At 41.4% G+C, this 15,057-nt stretch overlaps 1 protein-coding gene across 25 annotated transcripts in view; it reads left to right on the forward strand.

The window, feature by feature from the left end:
• KATNAL2 (katanin catalytic subunit A1 like 2) overlaps positions 1-15,057 on the forward strand; it is a 184,650-nt gene that overhangs the window by 142,976 nt on the left and 26,617 nt on the right. For 20 of the 25 annotated variants that reach the window (NM_001353899.1, NM_001353900.1, NM_001353903.1 and 17 more), the window contains 6 exons: positions 2,403-2,501; positions 2,715-2,792; positions 6,452-6,550; positions 8,651-8,714; positions 8,913-9,031; positions 14,708-14,799. In NM_001353899.1, the coding sequence (NP_001340828.1) occupies positions 2,403-2,501; positions 2,715-2,792; positions 6,452-6,550; positions 8,651-8,714; positions 8,913-9,031; positions 14,708-14,799 (551 nt within the window). The remainder of the gene's footprint in view (positions 1-2,402; positions 2,502-2,714; positions 2,793-6,451; positions 6,551-8,650; positions 8,715-8,912; positions 9,032-14,707; positions 14,800-15,057) is intronic. The other 5 variants (NR_148563.1, NM_001353904.1, NM_001353909.1 and 2 more) reach the window with 1 other exon arrangement.

Raw genomic sequence — 15,057 nt, forward strand, 5'->3', positions numbered from 1 at the left:
GCACCATATTGCTCTTGGTCATACTCTCCAAGGTTGTAGTTCTTTAAGCTTCTTCTTTCTTCAGCCAAGTGCTCAAACCTCTGGAGTGCTGACTTAGTTCTGGCCAGCTCTTAGAAAAACTGAACTCTGTGTGTGTGAATTTGGAGGGGTGACTGGAGCATATCCCTGAAAATCAAGAGCAGTGACCTCACTGGCCTGAACTGACTCCCTTTAAGGGCCTCACTTACATGGTAATTGCTGAAGATGATGCCATGGGAATCAACACCTCCCTTGGAAAAATGTCTCCTTGTTCACCTTCACTGCTTCTATTGTGTTTTCAGTCACCTTTGCCTAGCTTTTTTGTGGCATAAGTTTCTCTTGTGAATGCCTCACATTGAAATGAATGGATGTTTTTGATTGGGTCACAAGGAAGGGACCATTTAACCCAGCACTTAACCTTTGAAATAGTCTGACTATAAATCCTCTTACCAGCAGAAATGTCCTCAAAGGCACAATGTAGATGGCTTTCTCCCTAGCATTTCATATGTCCATAGGTTGTATGAGGGTATATGGCCTGGGGCCAATCTCAGAAAACCCCAGGTCTGTCATTTCTATGTTAGTACCTGTGTTTGTCTGTTTTGCATTGCTATAAAGGAATACCTGAGGCTGAGTAGTTTATAAAGAAAAGAGATTTATTTGACTCATAGTTCTATATGGCACTGGGATCTGCTCAGCTTCTGGTGAGGCCTCAGGAAGCTTTTACTCATGGCGGAAGGCAAGGGGACCTGGCATGTCACATGGCAAGAGAGGGAACAAGAAGGGAGGGAGATGACCTGCTCTTATAAACAACCAGGTCCCTCGTGAACTAATAGAGTGAGAACTCACTCATTACAGTGGTGAGAGCACCAAGCCTTTCATGAGAGTTCCTCCCCAATGACCCAAACACCTCCCACCAGGCCCACCTCCAACACTGGGGATCACATTTCAATATGAGATTTGGAGGGGGCACACATCCTTACTACATCAGAATCCAAGCTTTAGGACACCCTCCCTGCAAATTTAGTAGGTATGTTGTTCTTGAGGGCATAGGCTTCAGAGTCAGCCTGTCTAGATTCAAAACCTGGCTCAGATGCTCCCCCACTATGTAACTTTGGGCAAGTTGGTTAAGTTGTTTTATAATTTCTCCAAGCCTCATTTCTCTCATCTGTAAAGTGGAAATAATCATAGCGTCCCCTTTAAGTCTCATGATGAAAGGAGAGCCTTGGTGCAGTGCTAGCACATAGTAAACACTCCATAAATGTTAACTATTATTATTATTTTTTTTTTTGGTGCATCCTTGCTTTTTCCTTCCTACCTCTAGGGGGGACAGGGTGATATTGGAAGGATCATGGGTTGGGAGAGAGATTAAGTGGGTTTAAATCCTGGCCTTAAGCCATTTATTAGCTGTGTGGCCCTGGGCAAATTACTTAACCTCTCTGGACTTACTCCCACATCTATGAAGCCAGGATGTCACTCCTGACTAACAGAAGTGTTATAAGAATTAGAAGTAGGCTGGGTATGCTGGTTCGCACCTGTAATCCCAGCCCTTTGGGAGGCTAAGGTGGGAGTATAACTCGAGCTCAGGAGTTGGGAGACCAGCCTGGGCAACATAAAGAGACCCCACTTCTGCAAAAAAAATTTTTTTAATTAGCCAAAAGTAGTGGCGCACATATGTAGTCCCAGCTCTTTGGGAGGCTGAAGTGGGAGGATCCCTTGAGCCCAGAAGTTTAAGGCTGCGGTGAGCTATGATTACGCCACTGCATAACAGAGTGAGATCCTGCCTGTCTCTTAAAGGAAAAAAAAAAAAGGATTAGAAATAATCCTCACAGGATATGGAGAAAAGGGAACTCATACATTGTTGGTGGAAATTAAATTAATTACACTTATACCCAATAAATTTATACAAATTATATACAAAAATAACAAAAAAGAAATAGTTCTCACAAAGAACCTTTCACACTTATTTTGTACCCAGCACTCTATTGAGTGGTGAACGTGTATCACAATCCATAGACAGGAACTCTCATTACCATTGTGCCAATGAGTTCTTTCTGCATGTGTAATATTTTAAGAGGATAAGACCATACAGGGGAAGTCAACATATAAGGGAGGAAGCAGATGGTCTGTGTCAGGAACTGAGAAATACTCATGAATTTTTATTCAAATCCACTTCATTCTGGAAAATGTACTTACAATTTTTTAAGGTGCTCCAACTTGAGGAAATCATCACGTTTAATACTAGTGCTGGTTCTTTTTAAAGCTTAACTTGAAGTTTGCCCTATATACCAGGGTCTATAAATGTGTCTTGGTTTAATGAAACTGAGTTATTAAGAAGAGTCTTCTCTTATGTTCTCATGGCATAAATAACCATTCCTCCCTTTCAGGGCCAAATCATTGACTTCCAAGGGCTGCTCACAGATGCCATCAAGGGAGCAACCAGTGAACTTGCCTTGAACACCTTCGACCATAATCCAGACCCCTCAGTAAGTGGCGAAGATGTGACATTCATCTTTCAAATTGCCAACATCCAGATGAACTCTGGAAATATAATTTTGAGTACAGTGAAACCTTGAGATCAAGTTAAAGGCCATAGCCACCTGCCATCGTTTGTTTCACCAAGACCTGTGCATGCCCGGGGTTTCTTCCTAAATTATGAAGCAATATTGTAATGTGAGCCTTTCCGCTCCTCTCATCAGGAACGACTGCTGAAACCTCTGAGTGCATTTATTGGCATGAACAGTGAGATGCGAGAATTGGCAGCCGTGGTGAGCCGGGTAAGATCTGATATTCAATTCACAAATTTATGGAGGCAGGCTGGGGCTTCTGGAGCTTTGTGGGCTGCTTCTTTTATTAATAACAATAAATATGATCATTTATTTATAAAGTGCCCCCACTTGCGCAGGCACTCATATTGTTTAGAGGCACAATAATGCATGATAAATAAATTATAGAGTCATAAAATTACAATATACAAACCCCACCATCTCATGATAGAGGCCAAGAAAACCAAGAGAGAAAAAGACTTAGGAATGAAGGGACAGGTGAAAGGTTTTATAGCAGAGCCAAGAGTCAAGGAAAGAAAGCCTCTTAAAGAAGAAAAGAGTATGTCTGCATCTGGTTTAAAAAGTCAGAGCCTAGAAATAGAGACGTCGGGAGTCTGATGATATCATCATTGAAAATCTCCATGAAAAACACAATTAGCAGGAAAGACTACCATCCAGACTACGGACTTTTCCAGCTTGCACTGTGGAACCAGAAGGCAGTGAAGAACAGGCTTTGGAATTAGCTGACCTGCCTTTGATTTCTAGATCCTTCTCTTGCTAGCTGTGTGACTTTGGGCAAGTTCCTGGGAAATAAAATAGATTCCTGAGTTATAGGGTATTTTTCTAATTTCTATTGCTTCATATTTAATTGAAGACTGAAACCTAGGCAGGCTCAGAGGGGGGTTTAAAATGATCCCCAAAATTCACAGCTCCTCTGAGAAGCTAAGGGCTCCTGAGCTGTCTCTGTTCAGCTCAGCAGTTGTTTCCTGTATGCCTCTTGTGTGTCAGGTGTGTGCTGTGGGCTGGAGACACAAATGTGAACGAGTCAGAGCATAGTCCTTGCCCTCAAGAGTTTCTCATCCCAGGGACAAAGTGCACTTTAAGAGCATGAAGGAGGGAGGGGTGGGGAAAGTGTTAGGAAAGAAGACAGGAAATCGCTAAGGGAAAAAGTGGAAGAGGGAGGCTAGGAGCTGTTCTGGGCATAGGCACTTCCATGAGAAATTGCAGTTTGTGCACATGTCCTGTGGGCCACCTAAGAAGCAGGGAGTGGTGGGGAACGGGTGGAGAGAGGCAGGGTTCCTGAGGAAGGGTGCTGTGAGCAGTACCCAGGGCTGAGAACACACCTATAGAAGAGGGGACCTTAGAAAGGCGCCCGTCGGAGGATGGGATCATCCCATGTGCTTGTGGATGGCTTGTTCTATGACAGTGAGATGAATGAATAGCAAAGAAAAGGAGATGGGGAGACCATCTATAAGGTTTTTACCAGTGAGAGGGGATGAGGGACTGAGCCAGGCTGCAGTAACCCCAAATTAATAGTCTCATTACCATTTTTGCAAAAGGGTAACATGACTATGAGGATAGAACTATAGAGTGGAAATGGCCTGAGATGATTCCATCTGGAATCCTTTCTATAGTAGCATAGGAGGTAGAAACCCTGCTCCTGCTTGAATGCTTACAGTGACGGAGAGCTCACCACCTCATGAGGTAGTCCTGTTGAGTTCTGACTGTTAACTTTGGATTGATACAAGGAGAAACTGTCAGTTGGGAAATTAAACATTACCTTGTGGAACTCAACTCTAGAAGAGGTCAAGAAATACTGCTGTTATCTATGGATGCTTTTAATACCTAGGTAAATGAATCTTCCTTGTGTGCCGAGATTTCACTAAGAAAGGACGGTAATAAGAATGTGAGTGGCTGGTGGGCCTGCATGTAGATCCAGGCTCTATAGACAGAATAAGGAAGACTGAGTCCTTTCTCTACCCTTCAATCCAAGAATGGATTGTAAATATCATGCATGACCAAAGTACTTTTATAAATACTTTCTCTAGACCAGATGCAGTGGCTCACACCTACAATCCTAGCACTTTGGGAGACTGAGATGGGTAGATCACTTGAGGCCAGGGGTTTGAGACCAGCCTGGCCAACATGGCAAAAACCTATCTCTACTGAAAATACAAAACATTAGCCAGGAGTTGGAGACCAGCCTGGGCAACATAATGAGACCCCATTTCTAGAGAGCATTAGCTGGTATATGTGGGTTTCCCAAGATCGACTGTGGGACTTGAGTATGCACAGATTTTGGTATGGGGGAGAGTGTCGGGGGGGGAACAGGGAGAGGTTCTGGAACCAATCTCTTCCATATGCCCAGAGACCATTTCTAGAGACCCCATTAGCTAGGCATGGTGGCATGTGCTGGTAGTCCTAGCTACCTGGGAGGCTGAGGCATGAGAATCACTTGAACCTGGGAGGCGGAGGTTGCTGCACTGTAGCCTGGGTGACAGAGTGAGACTCCATCTCAGAAAAAACAAACAAACAAACAAACAAGAACTTTCTCTAATAAAAGTGAAAGTTGGCTGGGTGCAGTGGCTCACACCTGTAATCTCAGCACTTTGGGAGGCCGAGGCAGAAGGATCACTTGTGTCCAGGAGTTTGAGACTGGGCAACATAGTGAGACTCCGTGTCTACAAAAAATGAAAAAAAATAGCTGGGCATGGTGTGTGCCTCCTTGGGAGGCTGAGGTGGGAGGATTGCTTGAGCCCGGGAGGTTGAGGCTGCAGTGAGTGGTGATCATGCCACTGCCCTCCAGCCTGGGCTACAGAGCGAGACCCAGTTTGAAGAAAAATTAAAAATAAATAAAAATTTAAAAAATTTAAAAAAAATTTTAAAAAAATAAAAATGAACCTCCTATGGTGGAGGGAACTGGATGGGTGGGGAGCAGGAGTAGCACAAACATCTCACCAGCATTTAAAAAATGTATTTATATTTTTGGTCCATGTGCATATATTACTTATTAAAAATTATATAAATATAATAATTAGTTTCAGATTTTTTCTGTAGTCACTCAGAATGACTTTGGAAAGAAGGCTTTTCAGGCTTTTTTGAGGAAACACTCTAGATATTCAGTTTGCCTGAAACAACTCCTACTGAGAAAGGCCCCTTAGTGACTGCTCTGAGGCGTCTGGTGAAATTGAAGTTTGGAAACTGTAAATTAGTTATCAGTAAAAGCTACCTTAATTGATTATCCTAGATGGTTGCTACAGGGCTCTTCTATAAGAGGAGAAAAACTGCACTTTCGCTCGGTTGTCAGCTTCCTTGAATTCTGTAGAAGCAATTGCTCCTGCTGGAAGTAGGGAATGATCGCTAGCGAAAAAAGAGAAATTGGTTTCAGAGGAGCATTATCTCCTTTATGCAACAAATTAAGAAAGTGTTTGTGAGATCAAGGAGCAAGAGCAAGGCCAGGCACTGGCTAGGAACTATGTTTCACAGTAAAACCTAATGTAAGTTGAAGGCATATTCTGTAGCTTCTTTAATTATGGTTATAAATCAGCATGGTTTGCTATTGACTGAAAACAGGTAGAGTCTGTTGTTAGGAGATTTTTTTTTCTCTCTGAAAAATACCACAATGTGTTATCAATGTCTTCTTCAGGGAAAATCATTGAATATTTTCATGGCATACCTTTGGTGAACTAACCCAAAATTACAATGTATATATGTGTTTATATATATATATATATATATATATATATATATATATATATATATAATATGAACAGTTTTTATCACCAGCACTTTATATCCTATTGTAAGTCAAGTATTCTGCTGCTCCCAAGTTTATTACAGCTGTAGAGGAAAACATCAGTTTTAAAAAAATGATCAAATGTGCATTGCAGGACATTTATCTCCATAATCCAAACATAAAGTGGAATGACATTATTGGACTTGATGCAGCCAAGCAGTTAGTCAAAGAAGCTGTTGTGTATCCTATAAGGGTAAGGACGGGAAGCCTCTTGGGGGTTATTTCTGTTCACTATCCATTGGACAAGCTGTATGTCACACAACTATCAGGAAGGGAAGGGCAGGATGATTTTCTGTCCACACGTTAACTCTTTGCTTGTGTCACAGCACTTTCTCAACCCTGGAGCACCAAAGCCTGGTCCATTCTAGATCATTTAAAATCATATTACATATTAGTTCAAGACAGGTGTCTGAGCTAAGTGAAACTTTAAAATCTAAGACCATAGTATACATGATTTGTCAGATTGATTCAAATTAGCCTGCTCCCTTAAAAATATTCTTATTGTTGTAGAAATACCTCTGGTAGGGGAGAATCTCTCACTTTGTTTCCACAGATCCTTCCTTTACACCCCTGCCCCCCTGACCTACCCTCCCCAGGATCGTCTGGGGCTTTGCTTCTGGCTGGTTGTGAAGACTAGACAGCCCCTTCCAGGGCAGTGACCAGCAAAGCCAGCCTGTTGTGCTCATTACTTATTACTGACAAATCTCTGTGCAGTTTACAAACTGGGTAGAAAAATAGAAAAACAATACTCTCCATGTTTGATTTACAAATGGGTTAATGAGGAGATAAGTGATAACTTAGCTTTTGTTGTATAACAGACCACCCCACAACTTAGTGCCTTAAGACAACAATTTATTTGTTTGTAATTCCGTGGGTAGGCAGTTGGAGCTGGGCTCAGCTGGGCTGGCTCATCTCTTTTCCACGTGGTATTCTTGGCTGAGCTCAATCACAGGTCTGAGCCATCAGCCAGAGTAGCTGGAAAAGATGGAGAGACTGAAAAGGCTGGGACAAGCAGTACGGCCAAGGTGTCTCTCCATGTGGCCTCCATCCTCTAGCAGGAAAGTCCAGTCCTGCTCACATGGTGGCAGTGGGTTCCCAGAAAGAGGCAAGAAAGGGAAAGTTCTAATTCACAAGCATCTTTCATGCCTCTTATATTTTTTTGCTAGTCTTATATTTTCAAGTCTTTTACATTTGCTAATGTCCCACTGGCCAAAGTCACAGGGCCAGGCCCAGATTCAAATGTTGGAGAAATAGGCTCCATTTCTTGATGAAAGGAGCTACAAATAATTTGTGACCATTTTCTGTAATCTCCTGCTGTTAGGATTATGAATTTATTTTATTGAATAACCTATTTAGTCTTAAACCACTGAGCCCATGTGGCCCCTGATTTTTGGATGCTTTCCTCTAAGGAGACAAAAATCAATACATTTGGATTCTCTTTTCCCCCTCTTTCTTTCTGTGTTCACACTTAAGGGTAAGAAATACACTAGTGTTCAGAATTAATAGAAATTTACTCACCTTTTCCTCTAAATGGAACTATAAAACTTTTAAAAAGGATAGAACATCTCACTGAAATTCCCTGGATTTGTTGTCCCCATGGCATTACAAGCTCCATATGTGTGGAGATTTGACATCAGGATTAGCATGAAACTAATAGCTAGTTGTAATTTTACTAATATTCCTTGCCACACCCTCTCCCCCATTCTCTACCAACCCTTGCCACCCACATTCCCGAGATTGTTTGAATTTGAACTAATAGGAGAGACTTCCTGAAGGCTACGCATGTCCTGTTCAGCGTTGGTGTCTCTTAATGCGTTTGCCCCTGAATATTCCCAACTTCCAAAACAAGTTTCACCGTAGCTCTGTACTTTATTCGAATAAACCTTTACTAATTGGTTCTAGTATGTATTTTAAAGTTCATACCTGCTTTACAACATTCAAAAGATTGCCAAATGCTCTCCGTATAGAAGTCTGGGGAAAACGATGTTATGCATGTAAGAAATAACTGTTTAACGGAGAGGAAGAAATACCTACATATACCTTTCCTTCCAAAAAAATTGGTCCTTTAAAAAGCTGCAAAAATTGTCAGGCATTCTAATCAAGCGTGAAAATAAAATTGGGATGAATAAGATCTGTTTATTTCGGTCAGAAGCAGACAACCTTAAGCAAAAAAGGGAGCCCTGAATCTTAGAGCTGTGCTGCTTTGACTTCAGCTTTCCCAGCTTGTCTGTGCTGAGAGTATGCAGGCTGATGTGTTGGTACCAAACCTCATCCTTGTTCCTTGTTTCCTTAGTATCCACAGCTATTTACAGGAATTCTTTCTCCCTGGAAAGGACTACTGCTGTACGGCCCTCCAGGTAAACACAGCTTCCTATTTTGATGTCAGTGTTAAGTGTGTGTGCAGAGGATGAGTTGCCCCTTCTGTCCTCACTTCAGGACTGGGGCACACGAGAGCTGAGCAGTCACTTCCTTCCTTGTGTGTGAGACTGACTTCTGTCTATAAGCAGGGGGATGGAGTTGAAATGCCTGCTCATCTTTTATGTGTTTCTCTTTAGGTACAGGAAAGACTTTACTGGCCAAAGCTGTGGCCACTGAATGTAAAACAACCTTCTTTAACATTTCTGCATCCACCATTGTCAGCAAATGGAGAGGGGATTCAGAAAAACTCGTTCGGGTAGGAATTCTTAATTTTGTTTTTAAAAATAAGTTCTAGTGTAATACAGTGGTACAAAATGATGTCAGAGCTTCTTTGCTTTTAGGTGATTTTATGTGAGATCTCAAGATCCACTCCTGGATCTTGATTACCAGCAGCTTGGGAAATGGATTGTCTATTACGTGTGGATGTTAATTGTGCCCCCATCAGCAAAACATGATCTCCCTTCCTTTGGGAATTTGATCAACAGCTCTTTTTTTATTCATGCAATTTAGGCATGAAAGCTGGGGGAAAAAAATCTCTGACGTGGCATATTTTTTCTTCATTCAAGAAGTATTTATTATTTAACATGTACACTATATTTGGTTAACATTTATTGAGAGGCTACTACTGTATGTTAGTCCCTATGCTAGATACTCTAAGAAAGAATCAAGAAACTTTAAACTTCATTATTCTTTCAGATGTTCTGAGCACCTTTGCTTCCATAGTGCCCATAGCCTGTAAGATTTTTTGCTTTCTTTTTTTTTTTTTTTTTAGACGAAGTCTCGCTCTTGTCCCCAAGGCTGGAGTGCAATGGTGCGATCTTGGCTCACTGCAACCTCTGCCTCCCGGGTTCAAGCAATTCTCCTGCCTCAGCCTCCCGAATAGCTGGGATTACAGGTGCCTGCCACCACGCCCAGCTAATTTTTTTTGTATTTTTAGTAAAAAAAAGGGTTTCATCATGTTGGCCAGGATGGTCTCGAACTCCTGATCTCAGGTGATCTGCCTGCCTCAGCCTTCCAACGTGCTAGGATTACAGGCCACCACGCCAAGCGATTTTTTGCTTTCTTTCAGAGGTTGTTTCCATCTTTACAATATCACATTTATAGTTGATGTTATATTTTATATTATAAAATGGTACTGAATCTTCCAATGACATTAAGAGCACTTCCATTTATGGTTTAGGTCCCAGTGTAAGACAGGTCCTTCTTTGAAATCCTGTTAAACTATCACGCTCTGTAGAATGGCAGATATGTAATCAATATAAGTGAATATAAAATATTACGTATTTTCTGAAAAGTGATTAACAAATTATGCTTAAATTACATTCCCTTAGATGACTGTTTCAAAATATGATGGCCTATTTGGAAGTCATAATAGAATATGTTTAAAGGATTGATTTTCCTAAAATAACCTATTATCTATTACCTTGATATCATTTTCAAGTTGTTGTAAATATGTAAGCTTATGTAAATTCTTGTTACCCATTCAAGATGGTAATTTGTGGAAATCTACATTGATATCTTCTATTTCTTTGTTCTTCATCTTGCATCTAACTCAGTGCCAGTTCCGAAGATGGGGCTTGAATTTAGCTGCACCTACAGTTATGGTTCCATGTGATTTTAGTTAGCTGGAGGTTCAGTTACGGTTGGCCCTTGAACAACAGTTGGCCCTTCAACTGCACGGGTCTACTTATATGGGGAATTTTTTTCAACAAAATACAGTATTCACAGGATGCAAAACCCGAGTATATGTGGGTTTCCCAGGATCGACTGTGGGACTCCCCAGTAGCTGAGACTATAGATGCACACCACCAAGCCCAGCTAATTTTTGTATTTTTTGTAGAAACCAGGTTTCACCATGTTGCCCCGGCTCCTCTTGAACTCTTGGGCTCAAGCAATCCTCCCGCCTCGGGCTCCCAAAATGCTGGGATTACAGGCATGAGCCACCATGCCTAGCTTCTCCCTGCCTTTCTAAATACAAGTAGAAACATACTATGTTCCCTTTTGTACCTGGCTTTTCCCCCAACTTAATATGCACAGATTTTGGTACGGGGAAGAGTGTCAGGGGGAACAGGGAGAGGTTCTGGAACCAATCTCTTCCATATGCCTAGAGACGACTGTAGCTGAAATTCATCTCACTAGAATTCTTATCACCCTGAAGTCTTTTTTTTTTAAATATCATTTCTATATGCTGAATAGCAACAAAACTCTTAAAAGATACCACCCAGAATTAGTTTAGGTTCATCTCCTGTCATGAAAAGTGGTGTTTGGAACCACGAGCACAAGACACTGCTAGGTACACGAAGGAAGGTGACATACTCTTGAGACAGGACTTACCTAGACAGAAGAGGAAACTCAGGAAGTTTATAATATTCCTAACAAAGATTGAAGTTACATGGATTTTCTGGTTTAATGTTGAATAGCCAGAAAAGTCAATTAACAAGAATTATCCATCCTGTGTGAGCATTGTATTTACTTAAAGTTTTCCTCTGGTTCAGTATTATTTTGTTAGGATTCTAAGAGTGAAGAAAAGTCCCAGTGGAGTGGGAGCAAAAAAAATTAATTAAAAAAAAAAAAAAGAGTGAGGAAACAATTCCTCTCCCAATTTCTTCTTTTTTTTTTTTTTTTTTTTTTTTTTTTTTTTTTTTTTACAGAGTCTTGCTCTGTCACCCAGGCTGGAGTGCAGTGGTGCATTCTCGGCTAACTGCAACCTCTGTCAAGTGATTCTCCTGCCTCAGCTTCCTGAGTAGCTGGGACTACAGGTGCCCCCCACCATGCCTGGCTTTTTGTATTTTTAGTAGAGACAGGGTTTCACCATATTGGCCAGGCTGGTCTCAAACTCCTGACCTTGTGATCTGCCTACCTTGGCCTCCCAAAGGGCTGGGATTACAGGCATGAGCCACCGTGCCCAGCCTCTTCCTTTCTTTTACTATATATTTTTAAAGTAACTAGCCTTTTAAAAAAAAGTATAAGAGGATACACAGACTCCTGAGCCCTCTCTGCAGAGGCAACTACTATTAACAGTTGCTGGAGCAGCCCTGCAGAACATTTATCTATTATCTACGTTAGCATCAACAACTGTTTCTTTTGGGTGTTCTGTTTCTGTTTTGTTTTGAGGCAGGGTCTTGCTCTGTCACCCAGGCACCCAGGCCAAAGTGCAGTGGCACTATCACAGCTGACTGCAGCCTCGACCTCCTGGGCTCAAGTAATCTTCCCACCTCAGCCTCCCCAGTAGCTGAGACTATAGGTGCACACCACCAAGCCCAGCTAATTTTTGTGTAGAAATCAGGTTTCACCATGTTGCCCAGGCTCCTCTTGAACTTTTGGCCTCAAGCAATCCTCCCGCCTTGGGCTCTCAAAATGCTGGGATTACAGGCATAAGCCACCATGCCTAGCATCTCCCTGCCTTTCTAAATACAAGTAGGAACATACTATGTGTTCCCTTTTGTACCTGGCTTTTCCCCCAACTTAATATATATAACTTGGATATTGTTCCACACTATTATAGATAAAGCATGTTCTTTCATATGTCTATATGGTAGTTCATTGCATAAATGTGCCAAAACGTATTTAACCAGTCTTTGCTTGATGGGCCTTTAGATTGTTTCTAGTCTCTTGCTATTATGAACAAAGCTAGAGTGGGCAGTCTTATATGTACACATTTTTGCCCATATAGTATGGGACAATTTGTACGAAGTAGAATCGCCAAGTCAGAGGGAACAGACATCACCGATTGCCAGATTACTTGCCAACAGGGTTGTACTCGCTTACAGTCCCATCAATGGTTCATGAGTGTGTTTGCTTCTCCACACCCTGGCCAACACACCAATATATTTTTTAAAATAAACATTTGTCAATCTAATACCAAAAAGTAATAGTGTATTTCAGTGATTAAACATGCATTTCAATATTTCAGTGCTCGAATATGTATTTCTTTGATTCTGAATGAACTTGAGCAACTTTTGAAAGGTTTAGAAAATATTTATATCCTTTTGTGATGTGCATTTTTATTTTGGATATTTTAAAAAATAATTCAAGAAGAAACAGATAACCTCTGCTAACCTCGAAGGAACTCGTCTCATTTCCTTTCAGAAATTACATCATTTTCTCTTTATTTTCTGAGCTTTTGGGAAGATCCTCAACTGGACAATCTTGGTCATGCTGTCAGGCTCCTTACTGTGAAGCTTTCAAAGAAAGCAAACCCTTCAGGACCTTCCCCTAAAGCAGAGAAGCTTTTTCTACCATTTGTTTCTCTTTCTATTCCAATTAAAGAGTTATTTATAGGGAACCATTGGGTTGTGTTCCTCCCTCCCCTACTAATGTCTGTGCCTCTTAGGAGCTGATCGCTACTGAATAGTTGAGTGGTCTCTTTAGCAAATGCATACATCTGTTGATGCTTACATCTTTCAATGCACCGCCCCCCAGTTGTATGATTTAACTTCCTCCAGGTTCCTCTGAAAATTTTAGACTAATGCTTCCAGAAACACTTACCCATGATTCTGTATATTCCCTATGAGTGGAAAGAGCAATGCAGAGGACAGTATGAATGCCTAGACTCCAGGCGTGGTTCTCCTTCCAACTGGGTGTTTGGTCTAGCAGAGGCTCTTGGTCTCTCTTTGCCTTTAGTGAGCACCTTAAAAACATGTACGGGTTTTATATTCTAATATTTCATTCCTCATTGGGTAGATTGCCACTGTCGTAATCACCCTTAATATCAGGTATATTTGGGCTTCTTTGTGTATGTGTGTGACAAGGACGGAAAGTTATTTGCCCTGAATTAGGTGGTCTCCATTGTATCTGAAAGGCATTGTGATGAATGCCCCAGCATTGCCATTGTTCTCTCAGTTCATTAAACTCAGCCAGTTGTTCCTATAAAACAGGATTCTGTAAAAGGGAGATGCTGGTGCATGCGCTTGAATGTACCCACGAGCAGTGGGGAAGGTGAGGTATTTCCTGTTCAGTGACAGGGAGACCTGTAAGGGATGAGCTGCTGCTGCTCGTGAAAACCACAACCTGACTTTTTCAGAACCCTTTCCCTCTAATTCTGTGATGGTTTGCTAGTGCTAAGTGACATGGAGAATAAATCCCCCATGCCTATTAAAGAATCTCTGTTCTTTTTTAAATCTCCACTGTTTTTTCCCATCAACCAGTGAAGGATTGTATATGATGCTCAAGAGATCAGTTTCAGGGTTAAAAAAATAAAGGTTTAGGTTGTTATATTCTATTAATCACCACCACATCTCCCTTTAGAGCTCTTTATTTTGTTTTTATATGTCTGTTCTTTTGCCGGTTGCTTTCCTGTTCTTGTTCAGTCTATAATATTTTATTTTATTCTCAAATAGAACATCGTATTCAATTGAGAATTGCCTTCCGTACCTAAGCCTACCAAGCAGCCTTGTTGAGGTAGTGTGGGAAGGCTACGGAGTAATTTGGAGAACACAAAGGGGCTAAATTTGTCAGCCTTGTTACCCATGATGGGAACCCAATCCTTCCCCTGAAATCCTTTCTTCTGAGAATAACCTCCCATTGTTCCCAAAGATTAAGGGAAGAATTATCAAATGATTATACATATTCCAAGGCTCTTGTGTCCATATGGAACATATTATTGGCAGGGTGTTTCAGGGGTTAACTGGCCAACTGCAAGCTTGGGAACCTAAATTTATCTGAAGCTCTCATATTTATGATTAGTAACCTTGGAGTAACCACCTACTCTCTGCCTCTAATTTTATCAAGTGATAAATGGAAATAATCGGACCATCCAACCCCATGGGGTGAAGGTAGGGAGAAATGATTGTAATGATTATAAAGTTTTTGTGAAATAACAGAGTGCAGCATAAATGCTTATTATTACAGTCATTCTAAGTTTTTACTCTGGGAGCATCTGAGGACTTTAAGTCTATAAGCTTGAACACTTGCTTGCTTTTCCCCCACCCAGGTGTTATTTGAGCTTGCCCGCTACCACGCCCCATCCACGATCTTCCTGGACGAGCTGGAGTCGGTGATGAGTCAGAGAGGCACAGCTTCTGGGTAACAGACAGGGTTGGGGTTTTTGTTGTTGTTGTTTTTTGTCATGGCTTCTCCCCTCTTGTGTGTTTGATGGTCGGAAGCCTATAGACATTTACTAGCAGAATGAGCCCATTAATAAGCCCACAAATTTTCTGCAGACACATGGAAAGGTCTTTAAATTAGATCCTGTTAACTGAATAGCTGATTTAAGTAGTTTTTATAACCGGAGGAAATGCCATTCTCCCTTCCCCCGTTCCCCACAGAGTGGTTTTCAGGCCT

The sequence above is a fragment of the Homo sapiens genome, chromosome 18, assembly GCF_000001405.40.
Source record: "Homo sapiens chromosome 18, GRCh38.p14 Primary Assembly".
Taxonomy (NCBI): domain Eukaryota; kingdom Metazoa; phylum Chordata; class Mammalia; order Primates; family Hominidae; genus Homo; species Homo sapiens.